At 42.4% G+C, this 18,821-nt stretch overlaps 1 pseudogene across 1 annotated transcript in view, besides 1 other annotated feature; it reads right to left on the bottom strand.

The window, feature by feature from the left end:
* Positions 1-18,821, bottom strand: part of SMG1P1 (SMG1 pseudogene 1) — a 55,213-nt pseudogene that overhangs the window by 31,321 nt on the left and 5,071 nt on the right. The window contains exons 2-5 of the transcript NR_027154.1: positions 6,035-6,198; positions 5,295-5,450; positions 1,409-1,545; positions 58-113 (exon numbers count right to left, since the gene is read on the bottom strand). The product of NR_027154.1 is annotated as an SMG1 pseudogene 1 (transcript). The remainder of the gene's footprint in view (positions 1-57; positions 114-1,408; positions 1,546-5,294; positions 5,451-6,034; positions 6,199-18,821) is intronic.
* Positions 13,341-13,842: an enhancer, noted in NCBI's record as "H3K4me1 hESC enhancer chr16:22458379-22458880 (GRCh37/hg19 assembly coordinates)". NCBI's record gives its function as "activates a minimal SCP1, AML or CMV promoter by ChIP-STARR-seq in primed H9 embryonic stem cells {active_cell/tissue: H9 hESC(primed)}" and the evidence as "EXISTENCE:reporter gene assay evidence [ECO:0000049][PMID:30033119]".

The raw sequence follows: 18,821 nt of genomic DNA, 5'->3' as shown, positions 1-18,821 counted from the left end.
TAATTTCTAAAAATATATTTTAAAGTCATTTAAACCGAACCATTATTAGTTACTTACCTTTCATTAAGCACATCATGTACAGCAGCCAAGATATCCAATTGTTTAACTAGTACCTTTAAAAGAAAACACATTTATAAAAACTTCAAATTCCTATACTTTTAAGAATAGCATTGTGTACTTTTTTACTTGTCTTCCCTCCAAATTCTAATTCAACAGTACTTTACTTTCTTTATTATTCCCACTCCCCAATGAGCATGTATCAGGAATGTCATGTTTCCTTTCAGCCTATGAAAGAAATTCACCCACTGGAAACATAGAGCTGTGATCATCAACAAAAAAATAAACTCAAAAAGCTTGTTTCATTTACTTTGAAATCCATTTGAAAAATTGACTGACGGATGGAGGGATAGATGGAGAGATATGTGACAAGGCAGTATTTAGGGTAAAATGTTAACGACAAAAATTAGATGATGGGTTTAACAGATTCAATGTCAAATTCTTTCAACTTGCTATATATTTGAAACTACTCATAATAAAATTTGGAAGGAGGAGAAACTTGCTTTGATCCAAGTGTCATCTGCCTCACTAGACCATTTTCATTAATTTTCTCCTGCTCATTGTCAAGTTCTTTTTTTTTTTTTAAGATGGAGTTTCACTCTTTTCGCCCAGGCTGGAGTGCAATGGCGTGATCTCAGCTCACTGCAACCTCCGTCTCCTGGGTTCAAGCGATTCTCCTGCCACAGCCTCCCATGTAGCTGGAATTACGGTCATGTGCCACCACACCCAGCTAATTTTGTATTTTTAGTAGAGATGGGGGCTTCACTATGTTGGGCAGGCTGGTATCGAACTCCTGAACTCAGGTGATCCACCCACCTTGGCCTCCCAAAATGCTGGGATTACATGCATGAGCCACCACACCTGGCCCATATCAAGTTCTTAATTGGTGTAAAGAAAGTGAAGAAAAAAATTTAACCCTTCCTATACTTTGTTACATTTCTGTTGTTGTTTTAAGAGACAAGGACTCCCTCTGTCGCCCAGGTTGACATGCAGAGGTGTGATCATATCTCACTGCAACCCTGAATTCCTGGGCTCAAGTGATTCTTCCACCTCAGCCAGGTGTAGTGGCACATGCCTGAAGTCCCAGCTACTCAGGAGGCCACAGCGGGAGGATAGCTTGAATCCAGGAGTTTGAGACTGCAGTGAGCTATGACTGTGCCACTGCACTCCAGCCTGGGCGACAGAGCAAGATCTTGTCTTTAAGAAGAAAAAGAAATTACATATTAGAGAGCATTAAGTTCTTGATCATCATAATACAGACTTTCCCCATTCTTAAACTACTCAAGGTAGCATTACCTAGTTTATTATGGAAACACAAAAATCCTCATATTTCCAAACATACTATACTTACCAGCTTATTTTCTGGTTGCTGAATAAATTCTTTCAACTGCTTTACAGTAGCCAATCTTCGGTCTCGGTCGTTTTCCCGGGTGATCCTCCGAAGAAGATATGACAGTCGAGACTCATCACAATAAGACATCGATCTCTCTGTGAATATATAAACATTTTGTTGTCCACTGAGTATAAATAAGCAAAGGAAATTTTAAATTTTAAAATAATTTTAAAATTTTTAAAATTAAAAATTATTTAAATAATAATTAAATTATTATGGGGGCTCATGCCTGTAATCCCAGTACTTTGGAAGGCGGGTAGATCACATGAGTTCAGGAGTTTGAGACCAGCCTGGGCAACATGGTGAAACCCTGTCTCCACAGACACACAAAAAATTACATAAACTAGCCAGCCAAGGTGGGGTGCACCTGTAGTCCCAGCTACTCGGGAGGCTGAGGCAGGAGAATCACTGGAGCCCGTGAGGCGGAGGTTGCAGTGAGCCAAGATCACCCCATTGCACTCCAGCCTGGGTGACAGAGCAAGACCCTCTCTCAAAAATAAAATTACATCAAAAGTCACAGTCCACTGGTCAATAAAAGCTCAGGGAATATAGGTCCTATCGCTCTTTTGTTCAACTCTGTATTCCAAATCCCAGCAGAGTGCCTGGCACATAACAGACCCTCAAAAAAATATTTGCTGAAGGAAACAAGAAATGAATAACCCTAGGCCAACTGAACACCTCATTCCAGAGGACTGGCTGGGAGAGAAAAAAGAAAGGCCTTAGTAACAACTTTCTTTGGGTCCATTCCAAACTGTTTTCAACATGCAGGTAAAGAGCCCGGGTGTAGGTAAATTAAACAACTTCCAAGGGGTATGGATAAAGTCTCAATCGAGTAAAAACAGGATATAGGCTTCTACTTATCATCTAGGTATCCCACTGGAGGAAAGCCTCTTATTCACATTATCATCATTTCCCTGGGATGAAGTTTTGGGGAGCCATAATCACACATTTAGTTCAACAAATGTCTAATTATCATCTACCACATGCAAGGCATGCCTCCACTAGAAAGGTAGCAAACCACAACTTTTCTCCCTTTATTTTTTAATCACAAGAACAAGCAAACAATAGTGAATACTATTAGTATATTAACGATGCCTTTAAAAACTAGATTTTTGCTGGGCGAGGTGGCTCTTGCCTGTAATTACCCAGCACTTTGGAAGGCCAAGGCAGGCAGATCACTTGAGCACAGGAGTTCGAGACCAGCCTTGGCAACATGGTACAACCCCATCTCTACGAAAAATACAAAAATTAGCTGGGCACAGTGGCACATGCCTGTAATCCCAGCTACTCAGGAGGCTGAGGTGGGAGGATCGCTTTAGCCTGGGAAGCAAAGGTTGCAGTGAAATCACACTAGCGCATTCCAGCCTGGGTGACAGAGCGAGACTGTCTCAAAAAACAAAACAAAACAAAAAACTCAATTTTTGCAAAACATTTTCAACTGTGCTATTTACCATAATTAGCCAATACATACGTAAACAACAAATCACAAAGGGTCTGACAGTTTCATTTCTAAGGTATGAGAAAAAATTGATAATAAAAGAAACCAGAAGGCTGGGCATGGTGGCTCACACCTGTAATCCCAGCACTTTGGGAGGCCGAGGAGGGCAGATCACGGGGTCAGGAGTTGGAGACCTGCCTGGCCAACATGGTGGAACCTCGTCTCTACTAAAGATACAAAAAATTAGCCGGGCGTGGTGGCACGCTCCTGTAATCCCAGCTACTCGGGAGGCTGAGGCAGGAGAATCACTTTAATCTGGGAGGTGGAGGCTGCAGTGACCTGAGATCGCGCCATTGCACTCCAGCCTGGGTGACAGGGAGATACTCCATCTCATAAATAAATAAATAACTACAAGGGGGAACAACACACACTGGATCCTTTTGGAGGGTGGGGGGTGGGAGGAAGGAGAGGATCAAGAGAAACAACCAATGGGTACCAGGCTTAATACCTGGGTGATAAAATAATCTATACTACAAACCCTCATGACACAAGTTTACCACTGTAACAAATCTGCACTTGTATCCTGAATTTAAGTTAAAAAAAAAAAAAAAAAAAAGAAACTACAATGACTGAGAGAAGAATAGGATTTTTACAAATCCGTAGCCCATAGAGTATTTCAATAAGGACAGATACCAAATATGTCATCAAGTTACCAGCTGGGAAATTAGGCTCTACTTACAATTCTGTCACTAGCAAACTACATGACCCTGAGCCTTTGAAGAAGAGGAATTCTCTACTGAACTACTTTAGAGTCGCTGTTTAGCTTCTATAATATCATAAGTCTAAGGCTTCAAACACTCTATTTTAACAAACAGCATACATAGCCTTTGAATTCATTCCACTTGTGAAAACATAAAAAGAAATCAGTTTTTTAAAAGTTATATACCAACAATAAAAGCTACAGGCACAAAGATTTTCACCAAGATACACGAAGCACACACACAGTATAAAAAATAAAAAAAAAAAGTCAAAAACTAAACGTCCAAAAAGTAATTACATCTGACAAAGCCCATAACTCAGCTTTACCGATAAATTTCTCTTTAAGGAAAAAAATTATCATTACCTCTAATCCTCTGAACTTTCTTTTTTGTTGTTGTTTTTTTGAGACGGAGTCTCGCTCTGTCGCCCAGGCTGGAGTGCAGTGGCGCACTCAGCTCACTGCAAGCTCTGCCTCCCGGGTTCACACCATTCTCCTGCCTCAGCCTCCCGAGTAGCTGGGACTACAGGCGCCCGCCACCGCGCCCAGCTAATTTTTTGTATTTTCAGTAGAGACAGGGTTTCACCGTGTTAGCCAGGATGGTCTCGATCTCCTGACCTCGTGATCTGCCCGTCTCGGCCTCCCAAAGTGCTGGGATTACAGGCGTGAGCCGCTGCACCCGGCCAATCCTCTGAACTTCCAAGGCACTCACCTATACAGTGAGGCTATGTCATAAGGCAGAAATGCTATCAGTGTATTTAACTTTAGAAAAGTGCCCACTCAAGGCAGGGCCCGGTGGCTCACGCCTGTAATGAGCACGTGTGATCACTTGAGGTCAGGAGTTCGAGACCAGCCTGGCCAACATGGTGAAACCCTGTCTCCACTAAAAATGCAAAAATCAGCTGGGTATGGTGGTATGCACCTGTAATCCCAGCTACTTGGGAGGCTGAGGCATGAGAATCACTTGAACCTGGGAGGCGGAGGTTGCAGTGAGCAGAGATTGCAGCACTGCGCTCCAGCCTGGGTGACAGAGCAAGACTCTGTCTCAAAAAAATATATTGAAAACAACAACAACAAAAAAACCAGAAAAGTACCCACTCTAGGGGGCGGGGGGAAGGAGAGCATCAGCAAGAATAGCTTAATGGATGCTGGGTTTAATACCTAGATGATGAGATGATCTGTGCAGCAAACTACCATGGCACACGTTTACCTACATAACAAACCTGTACATCCTGCACATGTACCCTGAACTTAAAAGAGAGAAAAAAAAAAAAAAAAAAAAGACAGAAAAGTACCCCCTCTCTACATATATCTATATCCTCCACAGGCCCAAGAGTTCAAGGACTTGCTGTAGTAGGAGCCTACTATGCACTATACATTCAATATCCACGATAATTGGGTAAACCTTTTCTGTAAGATCTTATCCAGTCTTCTAATCTTGTTTTAAGAGAATTCTCTTTTAAAATGTACTATAGCCTTTCTAGTGGGAAATTAACAATTCACAGGAAAAGAATGTAAACAATTTTTACCTGCACAGTAGACTAATCAACTTATGCCTTTGCAAGGCATTAGTAAGAGGCATCCAGAATAAGAGGAGATACAAGTCTTTGGAAGGTGTATGTGATTGGTCCCCGTTTTCCCAGCCTTACCCTGTGATTTCCTCATGTCTTTGGTGGCTAAAGCACAACTGCCATGCTGAACACTGGTGAACTCAGGGCTGGTCACATTGTTAACCCTCAGCTCTTGCCCCAATGACTTCCGACCATAAGTATTTTCCCCAGATCCCCCATTGACACCGTAGCCACCTACAAACAGCCATGTGTACGTCATTTAAATATGATTGTTCGTTTCATTCAGTCAATTTCCTGATAGCTCAGGATCTTATGACTCAATCTGCAGCTCAACCAGCCTTTGCTTCTCCTACCTTTTTCCTGTACTGTCTGCCTTGAAAATCATTTTCATTTCTTTTAATACACCTTTGAAGTTAAATTAATTTTATTTTGATCCCTTCATTGGAAAATAAGCAAAGAAATGAAAACTAAATTAAATCAAATTTTGCACCTTGTTTTAAAACTTTCTTGAAGTTTAGAGACAGTAGCCAAGAGGAACTTCAACCTTAGCTAAATATTTTTGAAAATAAAAACAAAAATAGTATTGTATCTTTTTTGTAAGAAAACTGCATTGATGAATTATGTATGGAAAAATTTTAAATTTTAAAAATAATAAAGTGGATAAACGTCCTATGAAGTTTTCAGAAATAACACTGCATTTGTTATTCATATTTTAAATATATTAGAAGAAAGCGAGAAAGTTGGGGGTGTAAGAAGGCAGGAAGGTGGGATAGGTAGGTTCAAAAAACATGCTTGTAGCAATAAGAAAATATATATACCCTTTTCGTCATTCTGTATGTCAGCGTGGACTCTGGTATCATCGTGCCTTTGCCGAGACACCACAGCTGAATTTGAAGGTTGCAGTCCGTAAGAGGAAGAACCACCTCTATCTCTGGATGAAGAATATTTTAAATTACCTGGGTCGGCTGATGCACTATCAGTTCTATAAAAAGAGAAAAGTTTAAGATTAGAACTTTAAATAACATAAATAAATCTTTCTTTAAACAAGCCTCTCTTCTCCCAAATTTTACATTTAACCATTACTATTGTATTTAGTGTAATATGCACTATATATTATATGTAAGCACTCAGCCGTCTAATAAGAAGTCTTTCACTGGGAAGAGAGTCTCAATGGACGAAATGCCAACTTTTCACTCTCTTCTACTGTTCTAAAGACCCATTCAGAAATATGAATAACTACTGGGATTAGGGTGACTTTGCTGGTTTTAGCATTGAAAGTCTCCTGTCCCAGGCAAAACAGGACAATTGGTTACTCTGGTCCAGTGTTCTCCTCACATGACTTGATAATAAGAATAATTCTTTCTAAATTCTCCCCCATGGAGACGGTTAATCAGTCAAAACATTTCAGCCTTTCCTGTCATAAAAATAAAAAACACTGGCAGCATGTCAGGGACGGGCAATGTCTTACCAAGTTATTTTCTAAGTACTGATTAGGTACTGTAGTATTGAAGACCCCATTGAAGATGCCTTAATTGTAAAGAGTAGCAATCAAAATTTTAAAAAGTAAAAAAGAAGACATTTTAAGAAAATAAAAGGTATCAGAAATGCAATAAAGTTATATCAGAAAGTTGTAGTTCGTAATCTATTTAAAATTCAGGTACTGTTTAGAATAATACCTGATGCTTATTAGTAAACAAGTAGGGTACAGCCAAGGGTAAAAGTGTGTCCTCATCTAAGTATCTGCTCTATGCTTCAACTGCCTCATAAGTAAAACAGAGCTTAGTTACAAGACTTCTCATGAGTGTTACTCTTTCAGCCATCAATCATAAACTATCAAGAAAGAAGACAACAAAATAATCTGTTATAGCATATGAAAAATCCAAGTAAGTTCTTCCCCTACTGATTTTCTCCTGAGAGGAACAATTTTGAGGAAAAAAAAAAAGAAAAAGAAAAAGAAAATCACTTCTATGATATTTACTAAAAATGCTTTCTCAACCTTTTAGAACCTGAATCTTTTAGAAAAGTTTAGGACACTGGCAAGGCCAGAAACTAACCTATTCCTCTACGCTTTGCCCCTCCCTCTATGGTGTAAAAGTGACAGCAGTGTTTGTATACTGTATATATTTCGTTTAGAGTTTATTAGTCTTTCCTTGCTCCCAAAAATACTAAACATAAAACTTTGCATGAGCTCAATCAGTTGGACACCTTGATCTGCACTTACTGCAATCACTGTTAATACAGAATGCAGACAATAGGTCCAATTAAACTTGGATATCTAACTGGTACAAGTCATTACTTATAAAGGATCTCAATCTGAAACTTCATGAAATTCAAAACCTAGCATACTAAAATGACTAAGGCTCCATAAGGAGTATCTTCTAATATTCAGAGTTCACTTATTCATAAAGCTAAGTACTTCGAACATAAGGGAAAATAAAATCTATGGAATTTCAAGAAAAATGTATGAGAATATTTTCTGAGTATACTAAGTCTATAAGCATTAAAATATTAACTCAATGGACCATAACTTTTTTAAACTAATGAAAAGACATTCCTTATGTACCTAAAAATAGCACACTTAACATGCGTCTATATAAATCATAGCATACCATTACTTTCTGAAAGGAGACTGAAACGTTAAGAGAGCTTATAATCTTTTCTGACAGGGTTTGAACTTTATATGTATGCCACAGTAAGCTCTTATTAGATGAGCGAATAAAATAAGCACTTGACTAATTCAGAAACACAAAGATAACTGAAGTCTGCCAATATTTAAACGTATCTTCACTTCCTGTTTTCATCATGTTTACTTATCTCCTACACTACCTTTACTATTAAGAGTTAAATGTTTCTATCATTTTCTGGTGACACAGTAGTACCATAAGGCAGCAGAGAATACAAGTTAAAAAAAGATCTGGGCTCAAATCCCAGCTCCAGCACTGAAAAGTATGTGTGCCTTTGCACAAATTACTTGATCTCCAAGCCTTGGTTGTCTCTTGCATAAAATGAGGATGATACCTATCTAACATGTAAGGTTGTTGTGAGGCTAAAATAAGATAATGAATTATAAAGAAACACTTAGTTTGCAGGGTATGTTAAAAGTTGTTATGACCATAATACAAAATAAACTCAAAGCTTCCAGTCTAAAAGACAATGTACAAACAGTTCATGAGTATATGAATATAATCAAAACAAGTTTTTACAGTCAATATAGAGCAACTTAAATACTTCACTGAAGAAAGCAGGTAATCTGTTGCTACCAACAATGTGTTTCCAACTAGGAAGCCTCTGATTTCAAACTAAACTGTAAAACCAGGAGCAGCTTCCCCGTTGGTTAGAAATAAGGTTTCTAAATCCCCTAAGTTATGAACACTGAGATTTTTTTCCCAAAAAAAATCTGTGTTTTCAGAAATATAACAAAAAAAACTGGAATAGAGCCACCGTCTCAGAAATACCTCAAAACTCCCTAGTTGCCAAATTATTTTAATACAAATTGATCAAAGCATCCCCAACCAGAACTCAGGCTGTAAGCATTCTGAACCTAAAAGCACAAAATGGTTTAGCATTTATAAGAAATTTCTATTTTTATACAATCTTGACTGCTTAGGTTTCAAAAAATGTCAATGTCAGGCTGTTAGCACCAACAAGATCATCCCAGTCCAATAAATAGAGAACTGTTGAAGAACGGAAATGAGCACTTAAAATGAGGCAATCAAAGCCACAAAATAGAAACTGCAGATTTGAACTCCAAGAAGCAGGCATGAATGTTAGGCTAGTTAGTTAGAAGAGCTGAAAGGGATATCATCTGCCAGAATTAGTGTCTCAATTTAGTGAAAAAAGAAAATCTATCTGTTAAGTCTAAGAATCCTAGCAAGGAACCAAAAATACCTCTACAGCCCCTTTAATATTCTAAAAATATCATGGAGAGAAAAAAAAAGAAATGCATAAATTTCCCCAAAACGATCAAACTGAAGTTAAAGCCTGATGTACATGCCACATGAGAGGTAAGTTTCTAAAGCTCATACCTCAAAAATCGCCTTTGTGATGTTGTGCATCAAGTCAATCTGTAAGACAGTAGTTACAATATTAGTGAAGACAGTGGGTTAAAACATTTGTTGTTCAAACATGGAGCAAATATCATTCATGAGTTAGGTGCCTTTAGTTGAACTATGGTCCCATTAGGGTTCATACATTAAAGCAAAAATTGAGGTGGAAAGACACTCTGTGCCTTACAGGATAAAGAGGCTTAATGTGGCAACCAAAAAAATTTTAGTACATAAGAGAATTTAAATGTTAACTATCACATACAAATCACATGCAAATACAGTTACCACTTATTTTAGTTACCTATTCTCCATATACAGAAAAATGCCACAAATCTAGGAGGCCATTCGTTTCAAATGACCGGAATCCTTAGACCTCACACCAACAAGCCACCATGTGCTGGGGATGGTATCGCCTGACTAAATGTAGCCTTGCAGTCCATTCTTGTAAGTATTAGAGAGAAAAAGAGAGAGAGCATCATCTCTGGAAAGTGTGAAGTCAGGGAATTCCCTACTAGGAAGCATTTCCATAAAGCACCCCAAAATGACTTGATGCAAACACCACACCTAGTGGTGTCACTGGAGTAAGCATCATATTACTTCAAATTGCTTTTACCTAGGTTTATTAAGGGATTTTGCTCTCATGGTGAGATCTAATTTGTAATGGATATAAACCAGGAAATGAGATTTGCACTAAAGCCAATGAAGTAGGAATGTACTTATTCTCTAAAGCAGCAAAGATAGTCTCACTGTCACAGAGCAGTTATAGGATATGTTGCTTTCCATACTAATGGTTAATACCACTTGGAAATGATTTACCCTTCAAAAATAAATTCAAGGTTTTCCCCTGTAATGCCTCTTACCTGGATTCAAACATGCTTTAATGAGGAATAAGAGAAACGGTGAAACTATGAATAACCCTGGGCCTTGTATCATTACATTAGAAACACTGCTCTAAATATGAGTCTATGGCTAAAATATTAATTTGAGAGGCTCAGAGAATTTATTATACAAATCTCTTCTTGCAGAGAACTTTTAAGTTCAAATTTAATAAAACAAAACAGAACCATTCCATGTCAAAATTGTAAATGAGTATGCATCAGTTTTGCAATACTGAAATATTAAATTAATATAATTTATTGGTAAAACTACCTTAGCTACCTAAGTATTAAGTGTCTATAATAACCAAATCTTAATTATCCATTTATGGGTGATTTGTTTCCTTTTTTGAGACAGGGTCTCACTCTGTCACCCAGGCTGGAGTGCACTGGCATGACCATAGCTCACTGCAGCCTCGACCTCATGGGTGCAGCCTCGACCTCATGGGTTCAGCCTCTCAAACAGCTGGGACCACAGGTGCATGCCACTCCATTTAGCTAATTTTTTATTTTTATGTTTTTTGGAGACAGGTGTCTGATTATGTTGCTCAGGCTGCTCTCAAATTCCTGGACTCAAGCAATCCTCCCACCTCAGCCTCCCAAAATGCTAGGATTAGAAGCATGAGTGACCACATCTGGACTGTCACCAATTTTTAACTGTCTGTCAACTAAACAGCCAATATAGACTGATAAAATATATTTAACTATTGTAAAATTGTAAAGAATTGTATCTTCACCAAGGAGAGGTCTGGCTTCTACCTGTGAATTCTGGAAGGTAATCTCTAAACTCTTGAAATGTCATACCTAATAAGAGGGTCCTGGCCAGGAGCAGTGGCTCACACCTGTAATCCCAGCACTTTGGGAGGCCAAGGCGGGCAGATCGCTTGAGGTCAGGATTCTGAGACCAGCCTGGCCAGCATGGTGAAAACTGTCTCTACTAAAAATACAAAAATTAGCCAGGCATGGTGACGGGCACCTGTAATAATCCCAGCTACTCAGGAGGCTGAGGTTTCAGTGAGCTGAGATCATGCCACTGCACTCCAGCCTGGGCAACAGAGCAAGACTATCTCCAAAAAAAAAGTGGGGGGGGGCGGCGGTGGGGGAAAGTGTCCTTGTTCATCTGGGGGCTTTAGGCCACAGCACAGTCTAATAATGTGGCTTATGGTGGGGGCTTTGAGTCACATGGATCAGCTTGGCCTCCAGTGGGGCTGGAGACTAAGGTTAGCCACATGGGCATGCAACCATGGAACCCCAGTAAAAACGCTGGACATAAAAAATAGAGTGAGCTTCCCTGGTTGGCAATAATCCATGAGTATGGTCGCACACCAGTGCCACCAGGAAGGTGTCATTTTTCACAACTCTACAGGGACAGGACAATTAGAAACTCCAACATTTGGAACTTCCCCGAACTCTGCCCTATGCACCTCTACCCTTGGCTCGTTCTAATCTGAATCCCTAAACTGCAATAAACTCTAACCATGGGTATGAGAGCTTTCAATGAGTTCTAGTGAGTCCTCCTGGCAAATCATCCAACCTAAGAGTGGTCTTGGCCAGGCACAGTGACTCAAGCCTGTAATCCCAGCACTTCGGGAGGCCCAGGCAGGCGGATCACTTCAGCTCAGGAGTTTGAGACCAGCCTGGCAATATGGTGAAACTGTCTCTAAAAAATATAGAAAAACTAGCCAGGCGAGGTGGTGTGTGCCCACAGATCCAGCAACTCAGGTGGCTGAGGTAGGAGGACTGCCTGAACCTGGGAGGGAGGAGTTCAGGGCGCAGTGAGCCGTGATCATGCCACTGCACTCTCACCTGGGTGACAGAGAGAGGCCCTGTCTCAAAAAAAAAAAAGAGTGGTCTTGGGAACCCCCAAACTTGCAACTAGTATTAGAAGCAAGGGTCATCTTATGGACTGGACTCCCTCTTACTCTGCACTCATATTTAAAACCATTAAATATACTGTAGCTCAAAAAAAGTTGCTTGTTTGTTTTGAAAAAGGGTCTCACACTGTCGCCCAGGCTAGAGTGCAGTGGTGCAATCCGAGCTCAAGCAAACCTCCCACATCAGCCTCCCAAGTAGTTGAGACCACAGGCTTACTCCACCACGCCCAGCAACTTTTGTATTTTTTTGTCCCATTCTCTACAACATTCCCAAAATGTTGCCCAAGCTGGTCTCGCACTCCTGAGCTCAAGTGATCCACTCACCTCAGCCTCCCAAAGGGTTGGGATTACAGGCATAAGCCACTGCACCCGGCCATAAATTTTGTTTTTTAATAACATTTCCAGCAAACATGATAAAGATTTGACTTCAGTGTTGCTTATTTTCCTTCCAAGGAACCTCTAATATTCTCTACTTTCAGAACTCCAATCAAATTAGCCAGAAAGAGCAAACGAAGCCAATAAATCCAGGAGGGCAATAGATCTGATTTTAACCCTTGTTTCACATGCACAATTGTCTTCAGAGAAAAGCTGAAGAAAGTACCCCCTCACCTCCATGCCCCAATGCTCCTTTTCTCTGACTTCAAGTGGGCCTCTGATGCTGCCCACATTTCCCTCACCAGGTTTCTTTCCTTTCCAAGACATCTGTAAAACTTTCTGCACCTTCTTCCTTCTCCCACCACTACCAGTGGATGACCTTATAGATTTCTGCTCCATGAGAAACAGAAGCCATTTGACAGCACCCTCAGCAAGAGCTAACATTTTAGCTCCTAACAAGAGCTAGTGGGCAACTGATCCAAGCAGTTTACATATGTTTATCATGTCATTTCGTGTTCAACACAATCCTATTAGTTATAACTTGATAACTAAGGTTTCATAACTGGCCTATGGTTGCACAGCTTGCAAAAGGCAGAGTCAGAACTCAGACCCAGTACTGTCTAATGTTTGAGCTCTTCAACACTCCATCACTGCCTGTCATCTTCCTTCTAATATATCCACAAATTCACCTGCATCTGCACATACAGCTTTTCTTCCCATCATCTTCGCATAATGGAACAAATAAACCTCCTATCCATAGAAATCATCTGTCTATTCCCCCCATTTTCCAAGGTATGTCTTGTCTTTTTTTTTTTGAGATGTAGTCTCGCTCTGTCGCCCAGGCTGAAGTGCAGTGGCGTGATCTCGACTCGCTGCCTCCCGGATTCACGCCATTCTCCTGCCTCAGCCTCCCGAGTAGCTGGGACTACAGGCGCCCACCACCACGCCCGGCTAATTTTTTGTATTTTTAGTAGAGACGGGGTTTCACCATGTTAGCCAGGATGGTCTCGATCTCCTGACCTCGTGATCCGCCCACCTTGGCCTCCCCAAAGTGCTGGGATTACAGGCTTGAGCCACTGCACCCGGCCTGTTTCTTTTGTACGTTGCAAAATCTCCCATTTTACTACTGCTTATCACATCATCAACATATGAGCACTCTCAAAAGTCTTACTTTAAAAAAAACAAAAACAAAAACAAAAAATGGCCGGGCACGGTGGCTCATGCCTGTAATCCCAGCACTTTGGGAGGCGAAGGCAGGCAGATCATAAGGTCAGGAGATTGAGACCACCCTGGCCAACACGGTGAAACCCCGTCTCTACTAAAATAGAAAAAATAAAATTACCTGTGCGTGGTGGCACGCACCTGTAGTCCCAGCTACTTGGGAGGCTGAGGCAGGGGAATCATTTGAACCCGGGAGGCAGAGCTTGCAGTGAGCCAAGATCGTGCCACTACACTCCAGCCTGGTGACAGAGCGAGACTCCGTCTCAAAAAAAAAAACTAAAGGCCGGGTGCGGTGGCTCACGCTGGTAATCCCAGCACTTTGGGAGGCCAAGGTGGGTGGATCATGAGGTCAGGAGTTCAAGACCAGCCTGCCCAATGTAGTGAAACCCCGTCTCTACTAAATATACAAATATCAGCCAGGCGTGGTGGCGGGCGCCTGCAATCCCAGCTACTCAGGAGGCTGAGGCAGGAGAATCGCTCGAATCCGGGAGGCAGAGGTTGCAGTGAGCCGAGATTGCACCATTGCGCTTCAGCCTGGGCGGCAGAGAGACTCCATCTCAAAAATAATCATAATAATAATAAAATAAATTTAAAAATTAAGAAAATAAGGCCGGGCACGGTGGCTCACGCCTGTAATCCCAGCACTTTGGGAGGGCGAGGCAGGCAGATCATGAGGTCAGGAGTTTGAGACCAGCCTGGGCAACATAGTGAAACCCCGTCTCTACTAAAAATACAAAAAATTAGCCGGGTGTGGTGGTGGGCGCCTGTATTCCCAGCTAGTTGGGAGGCTGAGGCAGGAGAACTACTTGAACCCCGGAGGCGGAGGTTGCAGTGAGCCGAGGTCACGCCATTGCACTCCAGACCGGGCAACAGTGTGAGACTCTGACTCAAAAAAAACAAAAAACAAAAAAACCCTTTAACTGCCTTTCTCCCTCTATCAATCTAATAGCCTGGACTCTTCACAGACAAACCTGTTGAAAAATTTATCTTCCTTGCCTTCATTTACTTTTTAACCCACTTTAATCTGGGTTCCACCTGCAACACACCACTGAAGCTATTCCTACTAAGGTAGGAACTGCCACTCAAGGCCTTCTTGGCTCTAAAATCCCATGAGCCTTTTTCAGTTCACCCTACAATTTCTCAATACCACTCTAAAGTTTATGAGTTTTTTAGTTAACTTTAATCCAGTGACTCTTTCTACTTTATCCCAATCCAAGTATTCTCCTCCTTCTTCACTTCATTTTTTTTTTTTTTTTTTGAGACAGACTCTGACTTTGTTGCCCAGGCTGGAGTATAGTGGTGCAATACTGGCTCACTGCAACCTCCACCTCCAGGTTCAAGCGATTCTCCTGCCTCAGCCTCCCAAGTAGCTGAGATTACAGGCCCCTGCTACCACACCCGGCTAATTTTTGTATTTTTAGTAGAGACGGGGTTTCACCATGTTGGCCAGGCTGGTCTCGAACTCCTGACCTCAAGGGATCCACCCGCCTCGGCCTCCCAAAGTGTTGGAATTACAGGCGTGAGCCAACGTGCCCGGCCCCTTCTTCACTTCTTTAACCAGCTTAGATTTCATTGTGTATCATTTCAACAACACTCTTGCCTATACCCTTAACTCTTAAGATTCTCATCACACCCATCTGGCAAAACCCCAATCCTGGATAAACCCAACGATCCATCAATAAGCACCACACTCCCAGGTCCTCCAGTGTTTACTTCCCATTCTATACATGCACTATCCAGACATTCCCATTCTCTTCAAATTCCAAAATATCCTATCACCTCCCCTCCCCATACACACATTCTACTTCACCAACAAGAAAAAAGGTACCAGCTGGGCACAGTGGCTCACGCCTGTAATCCCCGCACTTTGGGAGGCCAAGGCGGGTGGATCACTTGATGTCAGGAGTTGGACACCAGCCTGGCCAAAATGGTGAAACCTCATCTCTACTAAAAATACAAAAATTAGCTGGGTGTGGTGGTGCGCACCTGTAATCTCAGCTACATGGGAGACTGAGGCAGGAGAATCGCTTGAACCCAGGAGGTGGAGGTTGCAGTGAGCCAAGACTGCACCACTGCACTCCAGAGCCTGGGCAATAATAAGAGCGAAACTCCGTCTCGGGGTGGGGTGAGGAAGATACCATAAAATACCTGTACCCGATTCTAGACCTTACTGAGGATTCCATCTACTTCCACCTTACTGTAACTTTTCAAATACTTTTCCCACTGAACTAAATCCCCCCCATAAACATGCAACACTTTCTAATGTATTCCATTGAAAAATACAAAAACATATAAAAAGGAAAAACTCCATCAATCCCACACGTCCCTCCATCAAACAATCTGCCTTTACTTGCTGCAGCCAAACTAAAGTTGTCTAGATTCCCCTCTCCCATTTCTTCACTTCTTCTAGCTCCTTAACACACACTGGTCCAATTTCTGCCCCATCACTCTTGGCAAAATCCATTATGACCTCCAGGCTGCTAAATCCAAGATACAGTTCAGGCCTCAATCTGCTCATCCTTTCAGCAGCTTTCACAGGGCTTCTGAGTAGGGTTGGGCAGTTTTGCCCTGCACACAGGTGCCCTGCAGAGGAATGAGGTGGGCTGAATGAAACTCCTTTTTTAAAAATTCTTGGCTGGCATAGTGGCTCACGCCTGTAATCCCAGCACTTTGGGAGGCTGAGGCGGACGGATCACTTGAGGTCAGGAGTTCAAGGTCAGCCTGGCCAATATGGCAAAACCCCATCTGTTAAAAATACAAAAATTAGCTGGCCGTGGTGGCGGGCACCTGTAATCCCAGCTACTCGGGAGGCTGAGGCAGGAGAATCACTTGAACCCAGGAGGCAGAGGTTTCAGTGAGCCGAGACTGCCCCACTGCACTCCAGCCTGGGCAACAAGAGAGAAACTCCATCTCAAAAAAAAAAATTGTTTATGCCAACTAATTGTACACCTAAATGCACCAAGTTCCTGACTTTCTCCTTGCATTTATTTGTTTATTTATTTATTTATTTATTTATTAGGTCTCACTCTATGTTGCCCACGTTGTAGTGCAGTGTGTGATTACAGCTCACTGCAGCCTTGAACTCCTGGGCTCAAGAGATTCCTCTGGTCTTAGCCTCCCCAGTAGCTAGAACTACAGGTATGGAGTGGCTCTCTGCCTTTATTTCTAACCCAAGCTACCTTACAACCTTAAAAAGAGACGCTGCTTCGCCGGGCACAGTGGCTCTCACCTGTAATCCCAGCACTTTGGGAGGCCGAGGCGGGCGGATCACGAGGTCAGGAGATCGAGACCATCCTGGCTAACACGGTGAAACCCTATCTCTACTAAAAATACAAAAAATTAGCCAGGCGTGGTGGCGGGCACCTGCAATCCCAGCTACTCGGGAGGCTGAGGCAGGAGAATGGCGTGAACCCAGGAGGTGGAGCTGGCAGTGAGCCGAGATTGCACCACTGCACTCTAGCCTGGGCGACAGAGTGACACTCCATCCTAAAAAAAAAAAAAAAAATTTATTATATACACACACACACACACACACACACACACACACACACACACACACATCTCCCCAGAAGCATCAATATTTACTGAATTAGAGTATTTCATTACCTGTTATAAAAAACAAACAAAAAAACCTTCCATTATACTAATTTATAAAGGAATCAAAACAAAATGGGTTGGCGGGTCCAGGCACGGTGTCTCACTTCTGTAATCCCAGCACTTTGAGAAGCCAAGGTGGGAACTCGAGGTCAGGAGTTCGAGACCAGCCTGGCCAACATGGCGAAACCCTGTCTCTAATACAAAAATTAGACGGGCCTGGTGACATGCGCCTGTAGTCCCAGCTACTCGGGAGGCAGAGGCACATGAATCACTTGAACCCAGGAGGTGGAGGTTGTACTGAGCCAAGATTGTGCCACTGCACTCCACCCTGGGAGACAGAGTGAAACTATGTCTTTAAAAAAAAAGGCGGGGTGCAGTGGCACACACCTGTAATCCCAGCACTTTGGGAGGCCGAGGCAGGTGGATCACCTGAGGTCAGGAGTTCACGACCAGCCTAACATGGTGAAACCCCATCTCTACTAAATATAAAAAAATTAGCCGGGTGTGGTGGCACATGCCTGTAATCTGATCTACTTGGGAGGCTGAGACAGGAAAACAGCTTGTACCTGGGAGGCGGAGGATGCAGTGAGCCGAGATTGCACCATTGCGCTCCAGCCTGGACAACAAGAGCAAAACTCTGTCTCAAAAAAAAAAAAAAAAAAAAAAAAAAAAAAGTTGGGGTGAGGGGAAGGTTCAACTTAAAGATACAATTACTAAGTGTTTCATAAGGAATGACTTATTTCATAATGGAGTAGGAGTTTGACACCAGCATGGGCAACATGGGGAGGCCCCATCTCTACAAAAAAGTAAAAATAAAAAATTAGCGTGCCAAGCATGGTGGGTCACACCTGTAATCCTGGCACTTTGGGAGGCCAAGGAGGAAGGATCACTTGAGCCTAGGTATTCAAGACCAGCCCAGGCAGCATGGCAAAACCCCGTCTCTACAGAAAACAAAAAAAAAATAAAGTAGCTGGGGGTGGTAACATGCACCTGTGGTCCCAGCTATTGGGAGGGTGAGGTAGGAGGACTTATTGAGCCTGGGAGGTGGAGGCTGCAGTGAGCTGAGATGGTTCCACTGCACTCCAACCTGGGCAATGGAGCGAGACTCTGTTTCAGAAAAAGAGAGAGGAAGCCAGGCGTGGTGGCTCACGCCTGTAATCCCAGCACTTTGGGAGGCCGAAGCGGGTGGATCACCTGAGGTCAGCAGTTCAAGACCAGCCTGGCCAACATGGTGAAATCCCATCTCCACTAAAAACACAAAAATTAGCCGGGCATAGTGGCATGCACCTGTATTCCCAGCTACTTGGGAGGCTGAGACAGGAGAATCACTTGAACCAGGAGGCGGAGGTTGCAAGTGAGCTGAGATTGTGCCACTATACTCCAGCCTGGGCGACAAAGTAAAGCTCTGTCTCAAAAAAAAAAGAGAGAGAGAGAGGAAAAATAAATTAGCCAGGTGTGGTGGTATGCACCTGTGGTCCCAGCTACTCAGGAGGCTAAGGCGGGAGGATTCCCAGAGCCCAGGAAGTCAAGGCTGCAGTGAGCAGTGATTGCACCACTGCACTCCAGCCTGGGCAACAGAGCAAGAGCATATCTCAAAAAAGAGGAAAGAAAAGAAAA

Source organism: Homo sapiens, chromosome 16 (assembly GCF_000001405.40).
Source record: "Homo sapiens chromosome 16, GRCh38.p14 Primary Assembly".
NCBI classification, from domain to species: Eukaryota; Metazoa; Chordata; class Mammalia; order Primates; family Hominidae; genus Homo; species Homo sapiens.
Note: the sequence above shows the minus strand (reverse complement) of the source record. Positions and strands in the feature narration are given on the sequence as shown.